Raw genomic sequence first — 24,611 nt, forward strand, 5'->3', positions numbered from 1 at the left:
CAGTTTTACTTATGTCTATTTATTTCTATTTTTATCCCATTGTGCTCAGAGAAGATACTTTGTATGACATCTACTTTTTCAAATCTATTGACCCTTATTTAGTTTATGGGCTTATTCATGTTCTATCCTGGAACATGTCCCATGTGCACATGAGAAGAAGGTGTATTCAATTGTTGTTCAAGTCCTCTATTTCCTGACTTACCTATTGTTTGGCTGTTCTATCCACTGTTAAAAGTTGGACGTTGAAATCTCTATTATTATACAACTGTCTATTTCTTCCTTCAATTCTGGTAATTTTTGGTTTATATATTTTGATGATCTTTTATTAGGTGTGTATACATTTACAATTGTTACATATTCTTGATGTATTGAGCCTCTTATTAATATAATGTTCTTCATCTCTTTTTTGTCTTTTAGCCTTTTTTGACTTAAAATCTATTTTCTCTGATATTTTGCTAGTCTGCTTTTTGTGGGTTACTATTTGCATGAAATGGTGTTTTCTGTCCTTTCATTTTAAACTGTTTGTGTCTTTGGATATAAAGTCTCTTGTAGACAACATATATTTGGGTTATGTGTTTTAATTTATTCTGCCAACCCGTCTTTTGACCAGAGAATTTAATTCATTTACATTTAAAGTAATTATTGATAAGTAGAGAATTACTTCTTATTTTCCTACAGATGCTCCTTAAGTTGTGATGGGGTTATGTCCCACTAAAACTGTCTTAAGTTGAAATAATTGTAAATTTAAAATGCATTTAATATACCTAACATACCAAACATCATGGTTTAGCCTAACCTACTCTAAACATACTCAGAACACTTGCATTAGCAGACAGTTGGAAAAAAATCACCTAATATAAAGCTTATTTTATAATAAAGCTTTAATTATCTTATGTATTTTATTGTATGTTCTACTGAAAGTGAAAGACAGAATAGATGCTTCAAGTATCGTGTTTAATGAATGTGTATCACTTTTACACCATCATATGGTAAAAAAATTGTAAGTCAAACCCTTATAAAATTTATAAGATTATAAAACCATTTATATTTATTTTCTATATGCTTTATAGTTTCTTTGTCCTTTATTTCCTATATAATTTTTTTTGTGTATTCAATTGATTTTTTGTAGTAAAATATTTAAATTCCTACCTGATTTCTTTTGTGTATATTCTGTAGCTATTTTCTTTATGGTTACAATGGGGGTTACATTTAACATCCTAACGTTATAACACTCTAATTTGAAGTCATACCAGCTTGACTTAGATAACATACAAAATTCTGTTCCTTTTTCAGTTGTTGATGTAACAAAATTACATCTTTATACATTGTGTACACAACAACATAAGCTAATAATTTAATACACTCATTTCTTAAATTGTAGAAAACAAAATTGGGCTTACCAATCAAATTACAATAATATGAGATTTTAAATTTGTAATTTAAAAAAATATTAGTTTCTTAAATCATGTAGAAAACAAAAAGTAAAGTCACACATCATGATTACAATGATGTTAGCTCTTATAAGCGTCTGCCTATTTGCCTTTTCTGACATCTGTATTTCTTTGTATGATTTTTGAGTTACTCTGTAGTATCATTTCTTCTCAACCTGCAGGCTTCCTGTTAGCATTTCTTGCAGGAGAAATCTAACAGTAATAAAGAACTCTCTCACCTCTTTTTTTTTTTTTCATGACTGGCATTTTGATTTTCTTTCTCACTTTTAAAATAAAATTTTGCCAGATGTAGGATTCGTGGTTGATAATTTTTTTTCCTTTTAGCACTTTGAATATATTGGCCCTCTGTTTTCTGGCATCTAAGGCTGCTGCTAAGAAAACCGGATAATTTTATTGAGGATCCCTTGTATGTGATGAGTCACCTCTCTTGCAACTTTCAAAATTCTCCGGTTGTCTTTGTCTTTTGACAGTTTAATTAGAAGGTGCCTCACTATTTGTCTGTTTGAGTTCATCTTACTTGTACTTTTTTGAGCTTCTTGGATGTTTATACTCTTGGCTTTGATCAAATTTGGGGGAGTTTTTGGTGATTATTTCTTCAAGTATTGTCCCTGCCTTTTCTCTCTGTCTCATACTTCTGGGAATTCCATGCTGCATACTTTGGTATAGTTGATTGTGTCCCACAGGTCTCTTAGGCTCAGTTCACCTGTCTTCAATCTTTTTTCTTTCTGATTCTTAGACTAATTAATTTACTTTGACCTCTCTTCAAGTTTTCTGATTCTTTCTTTTGCTGTTAAATCTGTCTTTGAGTTCCTCTAGTGAATTTTTTATTTCAGTTATTGTAATTTTCATTTCCACAATTGCTTTTTTTTCTTTTTCTGTATTGATATTCCCATTTTATTCATGCATTGTTTTCTTAACTTTCTCCTTGCTTCCTTTAGTTCTTTCAGCATGTTTAAGACAGTAGTTTTAAAGTCTTCGTCAGGTAGATCCCCCATCAGGTCTTTTTTAGAGACAGTTTCTGTTGGTTTATATTTTTGTTTTGAATAGACCGTGCTATCCTGTTTCTTTGTATGTCTTTTGATTTTTTGTTGTTGTTGAAAATTGCATATTTGAAACTAATAATGTAGAGCCCTGGAAATCAGACCTTTTCTCTTCCCCAAGGTTTACTGTTACCGTTTGTATTTTGTGGGGTTATTGTTGCCAGTCTCTGTGCTAAGTATTAGCTTTTTTTGTTAACTTGTGGTCTTAAGTATTTTCTGAGCCTGCATGTTTCCCTGGTTATGTGCCATGACTTTCTCATTTCCTCTGTTGTTTTCAAATGCCCTGGTTATCAAGGTCTGTCTCCCAAAATGAGAAAAAGTAAAAAATAAAGGAAGAAAAAAAAAAAAAGGACTGGCCTTTTGAGTCCCATGGAAGTCACTTCAGCTGGAGTGAGAGGGGCAACACTAATGATAGTTGCCCCTTTTTCTTTATGTGTGTGATTAAAAGCAGCAATTAATGTTCAGTCCACAGATCCTTGATATATGGAAGACAGGTCCTTTTTGCCCAGCTTGGATCATGTAAGCTGTATGCAAGCTGCTTCAAGTACATGTGCACAGATGCCTGCCAAGGATCTAAGAGGTGGGGTATAGGTAGTTGCTATTGTGCTGAGATGTAAACTTTACCTAAATTAACCACAACTTACCATCTAAAGCTTCCCTCCAGAAAGTAGACTCCTTTAATAGACTCTGGACTTCCAAAATAAGTTGTTGATATAGATGGTGGCAGTGCAATCGTTGTCTAGGTGGAAAGACAGATTTGTGGTGCCTCCTGCTTTGCCATATTCTCAGAATCCCTTTCACTTCCTTCGATTTTTACTAAGCAGAACTAACTTCCTTAATTCCTCTGCCATGCCTGCAACTATTCCTTTTCTCCCTTCTTTACCACCCCCTCCTCCTTTCTCCCTGTCTCTAAATTTAGGTTCCCACTCAGAGTTCTCACTTTGACCTTCCGTTTTCTCTCAGTAGATGTCACTACTCTAATAAGATCAACTTTGATCTTTCTTTATCTAATTATTTGAACTGCTTGTGACTTGGTACTGTGTTTTCCTTTGACAAGTTTTGTTTCATTTATCCATGAGATCTTTTCATAGATAACACCTGCCTTTTCACTTTCAATGTATCCCTAATTCTACTCATCATCTTACTCAAAGGCTTACATTCTGTTAGACATACCATTATATTTTCTAGTCTTGCCAACTAAATCGTGTTCATTGATGATATATCTTGCTTTCTTTGTATATCTATCACCAAGGCTTACAGGATTATTTCAATCTCTTTATTTTCTTGCCCATCATCCTAGTTCATATCTTCTGGGTTACAACCTACTCATTGCCTTCATTCTATCTTTTTCACATTCCAACTGCATATCTGTAACCACTTAGTGGTTTAAAAAATATTATTTTCTTCCTTTGGCTTTTCCACATTAAATTTCTCCTCTTGGTTTATTTTTCAGAGTACTCTATGACCTACCTCATCCTATGTAGCACACTGTATCTCCCACTGTCCTTTTTATACAGTCCTTGCTCTTTTGAAGCTCATATCGTCATTGTCAGCTTCATATGCCAAGCCAATTTTTCTTGTGTCTTTCTCAATACCTGATGAACCCTCATATCCTCATTTTTAGAAGCCTAACTCTACTATTTTACTCATACGTGTCTGACAACTGGATCATCTTGATCTCTCTCTTCTCTGCATCCTCAGTCTTTTGATTGAGTCATGTGATGTGGTGGCATGAGCCCAGGGTTTAGGGCTAAGAAACCCTGCTCTGTTGCTTATCACTGCATTTCCCATCTTTACATGCAAAAATGAGGATATTAATAACAATTTTTAGAAGGTTATTTTGAGGACTAATTAAGATAATGTAGAGTATCCAACAACTGCTGGTTCAGAGTAAAGGCTACTATGAGTCAGTTAATAAATAGATTTATTAATGCTGTTTGATTTTTTCTGCCACTTAATATATACCCTTTTGTGGGGTAATGTAATCATTGCATGTACATTAATCTTGCCACCAAACTTTATTTTATAAGCCAGAATCATAAAATAACATGGGAGACTTGTAGAAATTATTTAAAATCACAAATCGTAGAGCACCAGATTTGACATGGTCCTAACCCCTCTGCCCTTTCTTGTGATGAGGAAACTGGAGCCTAAATTTCTTAAGTGAACTGTTCATGGTGACACAGTTACTAGGAGAGCTGGTCCTAACCACAACTAGAGATTTCTGGACTCCCAGGCCTCTGCTCTTTCCATTACCTTCTTGTTCATTTATTTTAGCAATTGCCTGAAGGCAGGATCACAACCCATATTTCTGTATCACCCATAACCTTTATTTTCATTTCATTTTATTTTTTTTGAGATGGAGTCTTGCTCTGTTGCCCAGGCTGGAGTGCAGTGGCGCAATCTCGGCTCACTGCAAGCTCCGCCTCCCGGGTTCACGCCATTCTCCTGCCTCAGCCTCCCAAGTAGCTGGGACTACAGGCGCCCACCACCACACCTGGCTAATTTTTTGTATTTTTAGTAGAGACGGGGTTTCACTGTGTTAGTCAGGATGGTCTTGATCTCCTGGCCTCGTGGTCCACCTACCTCGGCCTCCCAAAGTGCTGGGATTACAGGCATGAGCCACCACGCCCGGCCCATAACCTTTATTTTATTGCGAGAAGATAGAATAGCTACTTGATTGATATTTGTGGCTTGATTGATCTATTCTTTCTTCGACTGTGCAATAGGAATTCTCTGGGAAAGGACTATGAAGTCTGTATACTTATCACCCTTTTGATGCTTTTGGGGTTGTTGTAAGCATGCAAAGGGTTCATTGTGCACTGCTTCTGTATACTGACTCAGGGTGGTGGGGAGAGGAAATGGGAGAGGAAGTTATATACATCTTGAGCAAATCAAGCTTTTCTATTTTTAGTCCTTGCTACTGTTTGGAAAGTACAGCCTCTGTTCATGGCAGTCTGGCATGTGTTTCCTTAGTGCCATTTCGAAAGGGGGAAAAAATAAATATGGGAATTTTTTTTTTTTGTAGTGAAAATAGTTACTCAGTGAAATCACATAAGTTTCCCGTTTTTCTCTTGATGAAACCTCAAACCCACTAGGCACAGATTCCTCAACCTCAACTATGCATGTGAAAGGCTCATGCAGAACAGGAGACCAGAGTCAGCAAAACCTTGTATAGCAAGATAAGCTGTGGTGCCCCAGAGAAGCGCGGATGGGTGGCGGAGGTGGGGAAGGCAGGGAAGGGAATGGTGATGTTCTTTCATATTTAGTGGGGAACTTGGCCAACTACCAGATCGTTGCCCCCTGGAAAAGGCTGAAACCTGAACTAAGATAAAGAGACACATAGCTTTGCAGCTTTTTGCTTAAGCTGTTCCTTTTGCTTCAGTTTCTGTCCTTGGTAAAAGTTTCCCTGACTGCTTTATAGCTACTCCCCCAATTCAAATAAATAATTTTTCTTTAATAGTTGTGATGGCATTTGGGAGATTTTTCCAATCTAAGGCTATATCATTAGGACACGATAAAGAGCCTTTTATGCTAGTAAATAAAATGATTTGATCTGTATTTAGATGGATTGCTATAACATAGTGGTACTCAAGTGATCAGAAATGGTGATGACAGAGTGTCTTGGAGTCACCTTCAGGGGTCCATTGAGGCAGACAAGGACCTTAACCAAGGTGGTGGCCATGACCATGGAGAAGGGGAACAAGAATCAAAAGCAATTTGGAAAGAGGGGGCTTATGGGAAAGAGAAGAGTCCAGGATGCTTGGCAGGATTGTGACTTTCTTCAGGGAGAATACATATCCTTCCTGTCCTAGTATGTGGCAAATGGAAGAATCCTTTGGAAAAAAATGAGGACTTTGAAGCAGGTGTGATGTGAATGTTACTAGAGGAAATGTTGATACCAATGAGCAAATATTGCCCTTTGTTAATGAAAGGGACTATACAGTCTCCAGACATAAACAGCTCTGCCTAGACAAAATTGTAGCAGTAGGGTGAGAATAATGCATTGCTATAATTAATGCTAATTTGTGGATATTGCTGTATTGTTGTCATTGTTTTTTAATTGAATATGTATTAAGCTCCAACAGGGTGCTATGAATAATGCCAACTTATAGTTGATTTATGAGAACACTCAGAAGACTTTATTAACACCAGTAAATGGAAACTCGCACTCCTTCGAGGTGGTAAACGTCTTTGCCATTTCGACAGATGAGGAGAAGTGAAGTAGATTGTGTTTTCTCTGTTGGCACTGCGGGTGAGAACACAGAAACTGTCGAATGAGAGAAAAGTATTTTCCTTGTCCCCTGGAATTGGGTTAGAATACATTAGTAAAGAATTCTTTAATGTGTTCAGAGTTGTGGGATTTTAATTAAATTGTTCCAGTTATTGTTAGCACTTGGATTAGCAACTGGCAACCAAATTCTAGGCCAGCAGATTTCAAATTTAGCATGGACAAGAATTGGGGTGAGGCCGATGGGTTTGTTAAATGCCAATTATTAGGCCCTGCCTTCAAAGGTTTAGATTTGGTAAATCTAGGAGGGGGCTTAGGAAAATCTTATGTTCATGGATATCGAAGGTGCTTCTGTCCTCAAAGGTTGCTAGCTTCCTTTCAAAACTCCAGTATTTTCTTATTTTAGGACGTATCTTTGGCCACCAAAATCTAGCTTCACCTGAGACCAAGGGCTTTTTATTTAATAGCTGCAAATTCTCTTATAACACACCAAGTATAATCCTGTAATCCTCTTTTATACACAACATACCACCAGAAAACATGTGCAGAAGACTTACCGTATGCTTAGCATTCTAGTGGACACATGATTTCTACTACCTTATTTCACCTGGTCTCCAAAATATCCCTGTGGGGTTGGTATTATTGCTCCCTTATTTCATAAGAAGACACTAAAACTAAGAGTATACGACTTGGTCAAACATCACATCCAGTTTAATCCTTTCTATCTTAACCTGGTTAGGCATATATTTTACTTTAAGTTTGAACAACAGGTGGGATTCTTTTTGGCACTGACAGAGTTTGCAGTTGACAGTAGAGACTGTAAACTCGGCTTAAGTGGACCCGTCCCATAAAGAAAAACATTCACATTGGAACAAGGGAGAGGTGAAAAGGAAAGTTGGAAGTGAGTAATTCAACTTTTCATTTTTTTTTGTCCCCTTCCTTCCTTCCTTCCTTCCTTCCTTCCTTCCTTCCTTCCTTCCTTCCTTCCTTCCTTCCTCTCTCTCTCTCTTTTCTTTTTTTTTTTTTGAGTCTCACTCTGTCGCCCAGGCTGGAGTGCAATGGCATGATCTCGGCTCACTGCAAACTCCGCCTCCTGGGTTCAAGCGATTCTCCTGTTTCAGCTTCCCAAGTAGCTGGGATTACAGTTGTGTGCCACCATGCCTGGCTAATTTTTTTTTTGTTGTTTTTTTTTTTTTTTTTGCATCTTTAGTAGAGATGGGGTTTCACCATGTTGGCCAGGCTGGTCTCAAACTTCTGACCTTGTGATCCGCCTGCCTTGGCCTCCCAAAGTGCTGGGATTAGAGGCGTGAGCCACTGCACCGGGCCTGTCTCATTTCTTTAATACGAGGTACTAAACTGTCACTGAGTAAATAGTAGACATTTGATTATTATTTGACTCTGAATATTTTTTGAAAAAAGGAACATTTCATAAGAAAGCCTGAAATGAGACATGAGCAGAATTCTGGGGTATAGAAATGATTTTTAAGTTGAGACAAGAATAGTGAAGCTTGAGACGACATTATTCCTTGCCTCCTTTAGACTTTCTTCAGCCTCCACCTAGCAAAGTAAAAGTCTTGTCATAGCAGTCTGTTGCATTGTATTCCCTGGGTCTAAGGCAGAAATGTGTACGTGCTCCAATAACCCTTGTTTGTTGTGCTGTGGAATCACGTTCATTTCTGATTAAGGTGAAATCAGTAGCTTTCTGATACGGTCTCTCACTCACTTTTTATCAATGGCAACCTTTTTCCTAAAAATAGGAATTTCTGCTGGGAGTGTTTTAATATAAATTGTCTGTGCTCAGCCTGAAATATGTGTGATTCATACCATGTGTTTGTTCCCACATCAACACTAAGTCCCAAGATACAATTACCCCTGCCCACTCTCTCCTTCGTCATGGGGAATGTGTTTATCCTTTAGATATCAGCACCTTGGGTAAGAGCCAATCTCCTTATATGCCTTGGTTTGCACACCTGCATTGTCTGACCACAGCTGACCCTTTGAGTCTGCTCTTACTCTATTTTTACCTTAAAGAACACTCGTGTTTGCCAAGTACACTTGCACATTGCAGAGTTCCTTCTATATCTTTATGCTCATGTTGTAAATATGTTAAATACTTGTTCTCCATTTAAGGCCTTCTCAATTCTGTCGCCATATAGCTCTCTCTGATTTCTCTATTCAGCTACTTTCTCTCTTTCCTCTCTCTCATTTTGCTTTTTTCTCGAACATCTTGTGTGTCTTACCTACATGTAGTCTGCCTTCTAATATGGACATTTGTGGATAAACTAGTTTCTTCAATGCAACTGTAAGCTCTTGGCAGAGAACCCCTGATCCATTCTCTTTCCCTCCCTCCCCTTCCTTCTCCCTCTCCCTCCTTTCCTTTCTTTCTTCCCTCCCTGCCCCCCTCCCTCCCTCCCTCCTTCCTCCTTCCTTCCTACCTGCTTCCCTCCTTTCTTCCTACCTGCCTCCCTCCCTCCCTCCTTCCTTTCTACCTGACTCTCTCCCTCCCTCCTTCCCTCCCTTCCTCCCTTCCTTCCTCCCTTCCTCCCTCCCTCACTCCCTTCCCTCCCTTCCCTCCTTCCTTTCCCTCCCTTCCCTCCCTTCCTTCCCTCCCTGCCTTCCTCCCTCCCCTCTCTCCCTCCCTCCCTCCCTTGTCCCTCTTGCCTGAACTTCATATCAGTGTGTCTTGAATATTTGAAAAATATTTATAGGAAAGTGAATGAAACCTATCCTAAATGGAGAAGTAGATGGCAAAAAAGGGTATTAGAGCTTGGCTTTTCAATTGTAATTGTAGCCATGACCTAATTTTTGGTAATCTAATAGGCCCATATAATCTCTGCTTGGTGTTAGAAGGGAAGACCTTTCACCTTTTGTGTTTTCTTCCTAATGTCATGCAAAGTGCTAGAGCTTTGGAGCAAAATGTTTGATTTCCAAATTCCAATTCTTCCATTTACTGCCCGAGTAACCCTAGAAAGTTCTCTTTTTCTCTCTGATCCTTGGGCTATCCTCTTTTGAAAACAGGAATAATAACATCTACTAATCTCTAGGATTGCTGGAATAGCTCGATGAGATCGTATATATGAAAATGCTTTTCTAAACCTGAGCACTTCTCTGTGATAATGGCCGTACAGAGGGAGCTATGATATTTTCCCTCTTGTTTTCCCAGTAGTGACTATGTCCCAGGCTGTGTGCAGTGGACTGGGTAGCTGCCTAGTAATATTGCTGGCTTGTAGGATATTTCCTGTTTTATATGTTCTTAAGAAGATCAGTTGAAATGTACGAGATGTCGTTTTGGAAAAGATGTTTCACAGTGGGAGGTGTTAAAGTTTTAGTCCTACTTCAGCCCCTTCACTATACAAACTACCTTACCTTTTTGGGGGAATTGTATTATCTTTAAATGAAAATGATGGAATAGCGACGTAAATTCCCCTTCTAGTTCTAATATTTTATGAGCCTTATTTCCATTTTCTATGCTTATCAACTATAAATGATTCTCTTGCAGTTGTTCAAACATCTTTTATCTGCACATCCTCATCAATGGTATTTAACATATAGAATCAGAACCACAAATGTTTGAAGAAAATTCTCGGCCAGACATGGTGGCTCACACCTGTAATCCCAGCACTTTGGGAGGCCTAGGCGGGTGGATCGCCTGAGGTCAGGAGTTCGAGACCGGCCTGGCTAACATGATGAAACCCCATCTAAAAATACAAAATTAGCCAGGCGTGTTGGCACGCACTTGTAATCCTAGCTACTCGGGAGGCTTAGGCAGGAGAATTGCTTGAACCTGGGAGACGGAGGTTTCAATGAGCCAAGGTTGCAGTGAGTGCCATTGCGCTCTAGTCTGGGCAACAAGAGCAAAACCCGGTCTATAAATAAATAAATAAATAAATAAATAAATAAATAAAGTTCCCACCCTCTGTACGTTTCCATGGCATGACGCTTTGCTTTATATCTCTGAGTACATGATATGGAATATGGGACATGGGAATTGAATACTTTTTTATGGTTTCCAATTTTGGTAACATTTAAGGGGTCAAACAAGAGTTCAAGAAAAAAAATACTTGAAAATGATGAGCTAATGTATAAAGTTAACATCACATTTCTAACTATTTGAATTTTGGGGAATGTGAGAAAGTGGCTTTTGAAATGTATCATGCCTGAGCTTATTAAGCCTGTGTTACCAAAATGAAAAATAAGAAACATGTCTTCCTTGAGGTTTTAAAAAACAAAATCAATAGCAAAATTACCTGACAAGTTCTGTTTGATTCATAAATCCACACAATTGTTGCACATCTCCAGCCCCCTCACCACATATGAAAGTTTTCTTAATGTAAAAGTAAACCTTTTCTCCCCTACCTCTAAAAACTTCTGTCTACCAATTTTATTATTTCATGTTATTTTGTTATGCAAAGGATTCCTGGAAAAATATCCATGATCCTAGATGATCTTATGGATATCTTTATAGGTATTTCAATGTAGAAATTTCAAATAAATGTATTTCCCTTTTATGCACAAACACAGAGTTCAGAAAAGACAGTTCATTTAGAGTTTGCTAAACTGTGTGTGTGGACTAACTGGTAAGGTGACGCTCTAGGATGGCACAGCTTGCCTAGATAATCTGTAGCAGTGGTTTTTAAACTATTAATTTCTTAGAATTGCTTCAGGAAATATTACTAAAGGAGATGGGGGATAAAGCAGCTCTGTCTGTATATGTTTCATACAATGGGTTTCCGTGTCTGATTTCATTTTACCAGGGGATCTGCTGCTTAAAAAGGGGGTGCCAAATATCTATTTTACTGTCAAATAGTTCATCTTATTGTGATTATTCTTAGAGTTCCTGTTTTATTGATGAATAGATAATATATGTATTGTTCCTTATTATTATCTATGCAAATTGACCTTTATTTTAATTGTAAGGGGTTACTTTAAAAATATATTATTTATATTATTTTTATTTTATAAGGATTGGAATTCAGTAGAAATCATTCAACGAGTAGGTAAATATTGTGAAAAGTGAGGGGTTTTTGTTGCATATTTAGTTTTGCTTTCTTATTTGAATAGAACAGTGAACAGTGAGGCTACTTGTGTATACCCAAGTTCAGATCACTTTAACCATGACCCTGCCCTTACTTATAAAAGAGTTGGCTTAAACTCGGAGTTGGCCTAACTCTTACGGGTTTAGTCTGATGGCTTTTGAACAGCAAAGATAGTGACAGGCAAGTTGTGAAATGTCATTATAGATCTATGCAGTATTAGAGGTTAAAAAAATAGAAAACGACCTGGAAGGTGCATACCCTCATTTTTGTAGAGGTAAAAGTTGAGTTCCAGAAAGTCAAAGAAACTGCTTGATAATATCAGCGGGACTTGGTCTTGTTTAGGCTGCTTCAGTAGGGCTGATTGTGTGAAACAGAGGCCCCCTGGAGTAGCGCTGAATCATGGAGTTTATCTTAAGGATGGATCTGAATGAGATCTGATATCAGGAAGCTCAGGGTCAGGGCAGATCTGTGGCTGAACTCTTCCATCTATTTTTCTTCTCATTGTTTTTTTTCCCTCTCTCCCTTCCTCTTTTCCTCTCCTCTCCATTCCTCTGCTTCTCTAGTGTTCGCTTGTTCATTGTTTTCCTCCACCCAATGATAGACTTCCTACCTCCTGTTGTATGTTTGGATTGTTAATAATTAACCATGTACATCATCTTTTTGGTTGATCACAGCCATAGCTCATCCCTGTGGCAATTTTTTATTTTTTATTTTATTTTTTTTTTTATTTTTTGAGTTTCACTCTTGTTGCCCAGGCTGGAGTGCAGTGGTAAGATCTTGGCTCACTGCAACCTCTACCTCCCGGGTGGGTTCAAGTAATTTTTCTGCCTCCAGCCTCCCAAGTAGCTGGGATTACGGTTACCCACCACCACGCCCAGCTAAATTTTGTATTTTTAGTAGAGATGGCGTTTCGCCATGTTGGCCAGGCTGGTCTTGAACTCCTGACCTCAGGTGATCCTCCCGCCTCAGCCTCCCAAGGTGTTGGGATTACATGCATGAGCCACCGTGCCTGGCGGCAGTTTTGTTACATGTTTTTCAGTCCAAACGCATAAGAGAAGGAGATTTATTTGCCCATCTAATCTCCTTGTCACTGTCCAAAAGTTAGGTTCACCAGCCTATTTATGGACCCTTGGTTCTGTGGGCCTCAGTGTTCTGAAATGGAGTCGCATGGTTGAAAACATGGCTGTTTTGGCAACAAAGAATGGGGGCAGGACCATTTCCTTTAAAGGAGATTTGGGTTGGCCAAACATTGCTAACACTGGGTGAGTGTGTTAGGGCTGAAAAGGATGAAATAATGTAAATTGTGAGGAAAAAAAATTCAAGCATTTATCAAGCGTAGCATTTATGTTCTATGTTGACGTTTGATACGGCTTGGATGCTTTTTCCCTCCAAATCATGTCAGAATGTGATCTCCAGTGTTTGAAGTGGGGCCTAATGGGAGATACTCGATCACAGAGGTGAATCTCTTATGGGGGTTTAGTGCCATCCCCTTGGTAATGAGTGAGTTCTTCCTCTGGGTTCACACGAGATCTGGTTGTTTAGAGAGTGTGGTACCTCTCCCCAAGCCTTGTTCCTCCTCTCGCCATATGACATGGTAGCTCCCTGTTGCCTTCATTCATGATTATAAGCTTCCTGAGGCTCTCATCAGAAACTGTCTGGATATTGACACCATGCTTCTTATATAGCCTGCATAGTCATGAGCCAATTTAACCTCTTTTCTTTATAAATTACCCAGCCTCAGCTATTGTTCTATAGTGATGCAAAAATGGCCTAATGTAACGTTTTTGTGCTTTATCATGAAAAACTCTTGTCTTCTGTTGTTACCTTATTTCTTGTTTATTTAATGCTGTGTTCTCAGTTGTCAAGCCAGTATTGCACTTCAGATTATGGAAATGTATTCCCCCTTATGAATGCTCTAGTGTTTGCTCCCAAGACAGCTTTTGCGACAACTTTTCCCACTGCCTTTAACATGTGGAGAAGATGTCCTTCTCGGATATTAATAAGACTTGAGTTTAGGCCTGGTTTTGCATATTAGAAAAGTTGAATTGTATTTCTGTTGGCCATTAGATAAGAAGGATTTTAGGGAAGGGGACTGTTTTTGTTTTTAAATTTGTGTCTCTTCCACATAGTTTTACAAAGAGTATCAAATAACATAGTGAATTTGATATCTCTAGGCAAAAGTGCAAGTGATATTTTTCAGTAGAATACATATATATAAACTCCTCAAGGTTGGGTATCATGGCTTTTTTACACTGCATACTACTTAGCATAAACTATTTTCTAGAGCAGCATGGGAGAAAAGCCATCCACTCAAATCCATCATGAGAGTTACCCTATGAACATTGGTGTCATGGAAAATTAGACAAAGAGGAGTCAGTTATCAAGTTAGTGGGTTATTTGTAAGTCCTCCTCCCCTGGAGAAGGGTACATTTGGGGAGATAGATAGGTAAGGTTTTTGGAAAGCTAAACACTTCAACTGAATGACTGGGAAAGAGGATACACATCCCAATAGGAATGCATTCATTTTTTCCCTAACTTACAACAGTTTGTATCTCTTTCCATAAAATGATATTTCTATTAGATAAAATAGATCATATTTTCTGCAATTCTCACTACTGAATACGGCCTGTGTCCACTGAACATTACCAGGATCCGTTTGGTGAGGCTGCTCATATTACTATACAGCATGAGAGATTATATTAAATAGAAATGTTACTGTCTTCATTTTTATTTTTATCCAAATACCTCTTAGCTATTATTTGGTGTGTCAATTGGTATTTTCATGGCATCATTAACCATATATATGACATAATATAGGTTGTTTTTAAGGGAAATAAACTATAAATTCACTCAGTACCCACCCTTACTCCCCCTGCCCCACACACTTAAATGTTCATTGTGTTAGAAATCCACTTAGAAAAGTCATTCTCAAAGTGAGAACACCTCACTTTGAGAATGACTCAGACCAGCACCATCACTGGGGATGTTGAGAACATCCCCATACCAGCGCCATCACTAGCACCTACGAACTTGGTAGAAATGTAAGTTCTTGGGCCTCACCCAAGATGTACAGATAAGAAACTGTGGCAGGTACAGCCTGGTAATCTAAGGTTTAATAAGTCCTCCTGGTGGTTCTGTATAGGCTAATGTTTGAAAAACACTGATCTAGGATTGTGTTCTTTATGGTTAATTCCTGGCACCCTTACACATGTTCAGATGCATAGAAGCCCCATCTACTGAAGCCTCTCAGTAACTTAGTTTTACTTTTGATCAAAGTACTTTATAAAGTCACATACTCAATTGCCTGACTATTAACAGAAGCATTTATTTTGAGACTATTGTCAAAGTAACAATTAAATAGCTAGCATTTATTGAATGCTTATTATGTGAATATTACTTGACATGCATAAACCTATTTAATTTTTACAACTGCATGAGGGACCCGAGAGCTCAGGTGAATTGTTGAAGGTCACAAAGCCAGCAATTGGGAGATACAGGTATTACAGCCTGACTCCAAAGCTTTCACCAGTATTCTTTTTTATTAGGGATACTTTGAGGAAATTACTTAATACAAATGATTATAGACAAATAAATATTGATTGTTTCCCCAATTTCATCAAAGACAGATGATGGAAAAAAGATTGATCTAACTTACAACAAAATGATTACACTTTCAAGAGAAACTAGATAGAAATAGTTTGGATATCTGTCCCCTCCAAATCTCATGTTGAAATTTAATCCCCAATATTTAGATGTGGCCTAGTGGGAGGTATTTAGGTCCCTCATGAATGGCTTGGTGCCTGTATGAGTCTGTTTTCACACTACTAATAAAGACATCCCCGAATCTGGGAAGAAAAAGAGGTTTAATTGGACTTATAGTTCCACATGGCTGGGGAGGCCTCAGAATCATGGTAGGAGGTGAAGGGCACTTCTTACATGGCGGTGGTAAGAGAAAATGAGGGTGATGCAAAGCAGAAACCCCTGATAAAACCATCAGATCTCGTGAAACTTTTTCACTACCATGAGAACAGTATGGAGGAAACTGCCCCCAAGATTCAAATTATCTCCCCCTTGTTCCTTCCCATAACATGGGGAGTTATGGGAGTACAATTTAAGATGAGATTTGGATAGGGACACAGAGCAAAACTGTATCAGTGACCTCCCCATGGTACTGGTCATACAGAGTGAATTCTCTGTTAGTTCATAGGACAGCTGATTGTTTAAAAGAGTATAGCACCTCTCCTCGCTCTCTCTTCCGCTCTCTCTCACCATATGACATGCTGCCTCCCATTACCTTCCTCCATGAGTAAACGCTTTCTGAGGCCCTCACCAGAAGCAGAAGGCAGCTCCATGCTTCCTGTACAGCCTGCGGAACCATGAGCCAAATAAACCTCTTCTCTTTATAAATTACCCAGCTTCAAGTTTTGCATTATAGCAATGCAAAACAGACTAACAAACATAGTGTGTTTTGTTACTTAAAAAGCACACACTTTCAAAATTCCTTTAGTTATCACCATTTTCCCCCACTGATATTAGAAAGAAGAGAGTAATAAACATTACTGACCATAATAGAAAAAAAATACAGTGAAATTCCTGTTGTATTATTAAATTTAAATGAAACTACCATTGAAAAGAAAAGTTGTATGTAAACACAATGTAATTTTTGTATTATTAGCCTCTTAGGTTTTACTAAATTAAGACAGTTTTATATTCCTAAGTTATCAGGGAAAGCTTTTCTAATTAATCACAAAAGGAAGCTCAAGCTTGGGTAGGGTCTGGGAACCTCTTTGTTTTCCATATGGGATCAGTGGTAAGACATTCCTTGAGCTCTGTGAAGCACAGTTGAAAAAAATAGGATTATGTGGTTACTTTCTCAGGTCTGTAATTGAGCAGTCACATTCAAATTCCGGCTTTTTGAACTCACAATCTATAATGTGTCAGTATGGTTGTCTACCTCAGAGATTCTGAAGGTTGTTGAAGATTAGTTCATGGTCATGTATGTTTTGAGTATGACGCTGGGCATTGGATCTAATTCTAGTATATAAACATCCAAGGGTGGAGACTGTTTCTTAATTAAATAGACCATTCCCCTTGGCCTTTTGTTTCCTTTAATATCCTGGATAAGATTTTCCTATGTAACAGTTTTTACTTGATGATTAAGTTTCTGATTTTTTTTTCATAGCACAGGACTTTTCAGTTAGTCCTGCTCCCCTACCTTGAAACCGAAATGAATACTGAACAAATAAATCGTTAACGTATTAGGCAAGATATGTTTATTTTCATCCCGTTTCACAATCATTAAGGCCATAGTTAGTTCAGGCAAAGATCATCTATGGACACTAAAACCACTGGGTGGGTGAAAGGTTTTTGACTAGTAGAATACTCACAGTGCCCCAAAATATCACCTCACAGATTATTTTTAATTTAAAAATCATGCAGTCATGCTTAAAATGGTGAAATCTGGTACACACTACCTTAATCGAGTCATCAAACTCAGCATCACCAAGCATGGGCCAAACTGACCCTTGAGCTTCCTGATGGGATGCAGCAGAAGGGATGTGGCCTCACGCATGTGATATTCCTGCCTGACTTATTTAATCTGAATCCAGTCATCAAGAAAAACCAGATTGGTTGGACTTTTTATAAGACACCTGACCAGAATTATTTTAAAAGTTGGCTTTATAAAAATCAAAAATCAGCTAGGAGCCTGTTCTAAATTAAAAGAGAATAAAAAGACATATCATTTTATGATGTGATCCTTGGATTTGGGGTGAAAATTAACAGTAGATAAAAGAACACTACTGGCACCACTAGTGAAATGTGAGTATGGGTGATATTAGATAATACTGTTTCTATGTTAAATTTCTCCAGTGTGAGAATGGTTTTGAAAAAATTAGAAATTCTTAGGAGATGCAAACTGAGGTGCATATGGGGGATGTCGGGGGGTGGTTTTGCAACATCTTACAGATGGTTCAATTGCAACAGCAAATCTAATTTATGTAGACAGAAAGCTAGTGTGATGAAATGGTGGCCACTGATGAATCTGGGTGAAGGATGGGTGAGTGGAGTTTATTTTAATAGTTGTTCAACTTCTCTGTGAATTTAAATTTTTTGGATATAAAGAATGAAAAAGTAAATAAATACAAATGAATGCTCTTTCATAACCAATTGCTGGTACTCCTCGTCTATCACCTGTAGTTAGTGGGTTAGTGATAGTTGGCCTGAAATATGACCCATTCAAAATCAGACTCTTGATAATGGCCTAAGTTCATTTCATTCACACGCTGTACATTTTGGTTCTGGGCTATTTATTGGACTGTCTTTATGTACTTACAGTGGGGGAGTCATCATCCTATAATTCTGCTGGCAGCACTTATTATGATTTGTCAAGTCATAATAAGTCCCAACTGTGGTTTGGTGAGCTTTTTATCACATATGTATTCAGATAATGCATAAAAATAAATATAAAAATAACATGTTCGAATGGTTTATTCATAGGATTTTTGTGGTCCTTGGTAAAGGGACGCTGTCAGTAGACACCTTTGGTGCCCCACCTCGCATCTTCCCCTCCCACCTTCGTGTACCAGCAGCTGCTACAGCGATCAGCTCTGCACAGGTGTGACCTGGTAGCACTTGGCTTCAACTGCAACACCTTTCACTCACTTTCTGTGCCGGGCCTTCTCTGCAACCATTTAACTTCTGAGACTTGTGAGACTTATTCACAACCAGGAGAACAGTATAGGGGAAAATGCCCCCGTGATTCAATTATCTCCCACACGGTCCTGCCCACAACACATGGGGATTATGAGAACTACAATTCAAGATGAAATTTGGGTGGAGACTCAGCCAAACCATATCTCCTTCCTTCTCTGCTTAACTCCTTCTAGTCCCTCAGTACTGTTTCTCAGAATTGATTCCCAAAATAAATGGCCAACATGCGAGCTTTTCTCACAGGCATTGTTTTTCTTGGCAGAACACAGACTAAGACGATGTAATCTTTGAAATCTCTCTAGTGATGGTTAAAGAGTGTGGGGATTGTTATAATTACATTAACTACTTTATAAAAGTTTGTGGTGGTAACTAGAAAAAGCATTAGTCAGGAGAATCTTCCTTGTTGCTGGCATTGGGAAGGTCATTTACCAGTCAGGTAACTAGCACAGCTACAAAGATAGGGAGTTAGGAGAAAGACATGTTGGTAAGTCTATAGGATTCTGTTGCTTGGTTATAGGACTTTGGATCCTGGTATCTACTATAAGGGATTGAGAGTAGCAAGATCCCCTAAATCGAAAGGTAAATGAATATCTACAGATTCGTGGCAGGACTTGGGCAGGACAACAGTTATTTGAACTGAGATATAAAATTGAGACTCAAGAGTGAAAAAAAGGCCTATTCTAATTCATAATGGAATTGAAATGTAGGAGTAAAGCTACTATAGTATTTGCACAATCTTCTCCCCTCTCACCCCACGCTCCCCTGTTATCCAGTTTTTGTGCAAAATCACACAGCATTAGACTGGAACTTGTGATAAATTGCATCAACCTAATTTGAGAAACTGAAAATAGGGAGCAGTCTGAACTTAGAGGGTAGGGAGAATAAGGACCCTGGAAACTAATTGATGTCTTACAAGCACAGACTGGTTGCATATCATAATTACTTGTTTTATTGTGTAGTTCAGGGTAATTCTGTGACTTGTTGAGTCTCAGTGGTTAGATATTGCAGTGACTTCAGGCATAGTCAGTTGATGTACTTTCTGCTTCAGTAAAGTACAGATGTAGAAGACCTGATTAAATCCTGTCTCTTTACTAATACCCCAAGGGAACACTTAATGAATGATGCTTCCCTCAAGAAGAAGAATAATTAACAATAGCTATATTATTCATATTAATTTATAGTTACTGGTTGCTATAATTAATGCTATTTAGGAAAATCATCATAATTATAGCACTTTACAACTTACAGAGTATTTTCCCATCCATTTTCTTATCTAAATCTTATAACATCACCCTGGCTTAGATAGAACATGTGATATTCTCTTCATTTTATAGATGAGAAAACTATGGCCCAGGGAAAGATTTAAGCAGACAACACTCTACCACCCTTGCCAATATATTGGACTATCTAAGAGTATGTGGAAATACACTTACCAAATTTATGTCTACTATAATATTTTATATCTGCGCACAAGAGGATCAACTTTACTCAGTTTTTAGTTGCATTCCAAAACAATAATGTCCTGTCTTTCCTTGTACCAGGACCCCCATTACCCAGAATGTTCACATGAATTTTAAATGTTAAATGGAATTTTTCTTAATAATACCACAGTGTTTCATAGTTATTACTGCCCTTTGATATAAACATGAAATCTCCTCTGATAGAGGGATTAGCACCTTGAAAACATCTGTTTCCAGTATACAGACCTGCTGGCCTTAAACAGTTTAATCAGACTGGAAATTCAGACTCAGAAAAGTCTAAATTTCAACCAACCTGTCATGTCACTCTTTTTCTATTTTTGGCTATGACAAGAGAGTTGAAGAAAATCTATCAATTTCACAAGGCTAGCCTTCAAATCTGGGCCGTCCAGCTTGATGATACACACATAGTTACCAGTGTGAGCGTGTGTGTGCACACACAGATGGACACTGAACCTCTTTGGTTCCGTTTTTATATCAAATTCTAGAGTATCCACTGCTTATTGTTGTACTTCTAACTGTGTTTACCCAAAAGATAGTGCTATGAGAAAGGTTACTGCCTGTGTCACAGTCTGTCATTATTCACTGATTTATTTATTCAAAAATACTTACTGAACACTTATTTGGGCTAGGTCTTGAAAGAGAGTCCAAGGAAACAGGAACAAAACAGACAAAGCTTCTCATGAAGCTTATATGTTCTAGGGGAGAGACTGAAAATAAACAGAAAAATACACATGGTGGCAGATATTATTTAAAAATGGATTTAAAAGGGTAGGGGAATAACATGACGTGATGTAGAGGGGTCATAATAATACATCCAGAAGGAGAAAATCATAAGGTGGCTGTTTTAGATAATGTGATAATATGAAATATATATATATATATATATATATATATATATGTGTATGTGTGTGTGTATGTGTGTGTACGTGTGTGTATGTGTGTATATATATATGTTTGAGACATATATGTGTGTGTGTGTGTGTATATACATATATGTATGTATGTTTGAGACAGAGTCTCGCTCTGTCATGTAGGCTGGAGTGCAGTGGTACGATCTTGGCTCACTGCAACCTCCGCCTCTAGGGCTCAAGCTATTCTCCTGCCTCAGCCTCCCAAGTATCTGGGATTACAGGGGCCTGCCACCACACCCAGCTAATTTTTGTATTTTTAGTGGAGACGGGTTTCACCATGTTGGCCAGGCTGGTCTTGAACTCCTGGCCTCAGATAATCCACCCGCCTTGGCCTCGAAACCTGCTGAGATTACAGGCATGAGCCACCGCGCCCGTCCTGAAATCCATGTTTAAAGAGGGCTCACAAACAAGGAAGCCAACTGCCTCTTGAAGTAGGTTTGGCTCCAAGGACCTGGGCCACAACTTCATAGACAGTTGATGTTACTGTGCTTGAGAGAAATCAGGCCCAGGAAGGATTAACTCAAGCTGACTAAGTTCCCAAAAGAATGACCAAAACACCAGATCCCTTTATGTTTCTTTTACACAGATAGTTAAATAAGCTCCAAGACTCAGGTAAGGTGGTTTGGTGAGTAAGCTACTAGGGCATACGGAACTAGTGGTCTTCACAGGCCATTACCCTTTACGCTTGCTTCAACATATTCACTAAAACGACAGATTGACTTCAAGGGTTATAAGATTTAGTGCTAGCCTGTCATGGCACGCTACTTGTTGTTGTTACTGAAGATATTCTAGTTTCTTGGTTGGTTAATGCTTTTTCTAAACTCTTTTGCAGACACTAGATACTCTCTTGATATTTTACGTCCTTAGACAAGTCCAGTAGAATTGATTAGATTATTGTAACTTTCCACTATTGTATTGCCATTGAGTCTTGCTGAAGATACACTTTGGTCTCTTAATGAAGTTTTAAGAGCTTCTTCCATATTCATATATGATCATTATTAAATTGTCACTTTAAAAGGTTATTTTTTTACTTCACCCTGCCTCCAAATACTAGGGTCATCTCACTTTATAATCCAGACAGATTCTTTGCTTCTTTTTCCCAAACCTGATCATAATTCCTGGAAACACCCTGTGTCGATGTTGTTGTCCTCTACTCTCCTGTTGATTCTGACTGCAGGTAATACGAGGTTCTGACATAGGAAATCCGGAGATCCTGACTTCATTGTCCATGCTCACTGCCACATGCTTCCCCTGCAGCCCCTTGGCAGAACCCTAAGAGGTCTCTTTCCAGTTCATGTTCTAGGTGCATCTCTTGGGTCTTGCCATCTCTCGCACACATGCATACCTAATACCCCCTGGACCTGAGACTTCCAAGCACTGGCATGCTCCAATGTCTTCAAGTGCTGATTCCTCTTTCTGGAATGTCCGTGTTCCTTCCCTGCTCCTTGCTACTCCAATAAATATTATTCTAGGCAGTGGTGTCTAAACACCAAGTGCTTGTGAGCTCTCTTCAGCTGGTTCTGTTCTTTAGGTGCAGGAATGGAGACATTTATTTTCCTTTACTTGTATACTTATTTTAAACAACAACAACGACAAAACTGCTAAATAAGTGTGTGACCTGAGAAAAATCATCTTTTATTTTTCAGTTTTCATATCTGTCATAAAGTGATAATTCTATCTCAGCCTACCTCACTGAGATTTTATGAAAGCTTAATTAAAAAAAAAAGAGGTGCAGAAAAACTTGGACAAAGCCACATTATAACTTGAGAAATTTGAACTTATAATGATATCAAGGGAAATTTCCTTTGTTAACATGTCTGTGTTGCTTCCAACAGGGGAATCCCGGAGGCAAGACACTTGAGGAGAGGCGCTCCAGCCTGGACGCTGAGATTGACTCCTTGACCAGCATCTTGGCTGACCTTGAGTGCAGCTCCCCCTATAAGCCTCGGCCTCCACAGGTTAGTGCAGCCCACAATCATCTCCACACAGCCATTCCCAGATATTCTACTCTTATCAGAAAGAACATGCTGCACCTGAGAGCTTATTTCCCCTTCCTTCCTTCCGTCCGTCCTTCCTTCCTTCCTTCCTTCCTTCCTTCCTTCCTTCCTTCCTTCCTTCCTCTCTCTCTCTTCTTTCTTTCTCTTTTTTTTTTTTTTTGATGGAGTCTTGCTCTGTTGCCCAGGCCGGAGTGCAATGGCACAATCTTGTCTCACTGCAACCTCCGCCTCCCGGGTTCAAGCAATTCTCCTGCATCAGCCTCCTGAGTAGCTGGGATTACAGGCGCCTGCCACCACACCTGGCTAATTTTTGTATTTTTAGTAGAGACCGGGTTTCACCATGTTGGTCAGGCTGGTCTCGAACTCCTGACCTCATGATCTGCCTGCCTCAGCCTCCCAAAGTGCTGGGATTACAGGCCTGAGCCACCATGCCCGGCCCTTTTATTCTTTCTTGATCTTCTTAGAGTCAATGATTTAAGTTGCCTTTTTATTTAATATCAACATGTATTAGTCAACTGGCAGAAATTTCTTAAATTGACTCTTTGAGTACTTTCTTTAAAAATAACACAACATCATACAAAAATGTTATATAAAAAAGTAAATCTCTTATTCCATTGCCTTGCTCTTCTTACAGCTTTGTCTATATGGATATTTTGTTACATGTTGTTATAGTTTTCACAAATATGACTTAGCTTGGCTATGTAAGGTTAAGGTGAAGGGCTGTGTCTTTTGCAAGGAAATTAGTTTTGTTGGATATTAAGGTGATTTTCATTATTTTTGTCATGGTTTTAAATAATGCTACAGGGGACATATTTGTGTATATTTTCTTTGGGGTTATTTCCTGGCCTCAGATTTCTAGGAGTGGGGTTGCTACATTGATGAATGAGACCACTTTATTTACTTTTCTTTCCTAAGGTTGTGAATAGTTGATACTGGTACCACCAGTTAGTTTGAATATATCAGTTTCTCCTCAAGTTCACTAGAATGTGATGGTTGCAATTAATCTGTGTTTTGTAAGTGCAAATGGTGCCTTGTTAGTTTTTCTTTGCTTTTTAATTTTTTTATTTTTGCCTACTTTGGAGCTTGGCTATTTTTCAGCATCTTCACTTAATATCTGCATTCCAGAAGCTGATCTTCCACTGCTAGTGATCATTCCCTGCCTCTCTAAAGTCTTGAAAGGGTTGTGGCAAATCTGTTTCAGGGCTTCCAATTCCTCAGAAGACAGCCATCAGAATTGTAGTTGCAAACGCTAGAGAAGCAGTATTGTCACTGTGCTGTTTGACTCTTGCGTGACATTTGTTTGACTAAGTGAGAGTGCATAGAGCCTCTGAGCCTCACTCCAGTTCTTGAGTGGCAGCTTCTGTATTTACAGTGGTTCCTTTCTTAAATTAAGAACCAGTCTTGTTTCTCTGCTGTCAGTTATTTCAATACTTAACTGCTCATAAGGTGGCAGCACTTTCTTCTTCTTCTTTTTTTTTTCTTTTATGAGATGGAGTCTCTCTCTGTTGCCAAGGCTGGAATGCAGTGGCGCAATCTCAGCTCACTGAAACCTCCACCTCCTGAGTTCAAGCAATTCTGCCTCAGCCTCCCGAGTAGCTGGGATTCCAGGTGCCTGCCACCACGCCCAGCTAATTTTTGTATTTTAGTAGAGATGGAGTTTCACCATGTTGGCCAGGCTTCTCTGGAACTCCTGACCTCAAGCGATCTGCCCGCCTTGGCCTCCCAAAGTACTGGGATTACAGGTGTGAGCCAC

At 38.7% G+C, this 24,611-nt stretch overlaps 1 protein-coding gene across 57 annotated transcripts in view; it reads left to right on the top strand.

The window, feature by feature from the left end:
• The window catches only part of LPP (LIM domain containing preferred translocation partner in lipoma), a 737,651-nt gene that overhangs the window by 348,948 nt on the left and 364,092 nt on the right, over positions 1-24,611 (top strand). For all 57 annotated transcript variants that reach the window (NR_164692.1, XM_047448103.1, NM_001375457.1 and 54 more), the window contains one exon: positions 22,697-22,819. Coding sequence is in view for 56 of the 57 variants with exons in the window: in XM_047448103.1 (XP_047304059.1) it covers positions 22,697-22,819 (123 nt within the window). In the remaining variant the exon portion in view is untranslated. The remainder of the gene's footprint in view (positions 1-22,696; positions 22,820-24,611) is intronic.

Source organism: Homo sapiens, chromosome 3 (assembly GCF_000001405.40).
Source record: "Homo sapiens chromosome 3, GRCh38.p14 Primary Assembly".
Classification (NCBI taxonomy): Eukaryota; Metazoa; Chordata; class Mammalia; order Primates; family Hominidae; genus Homo; species Homo sapiens.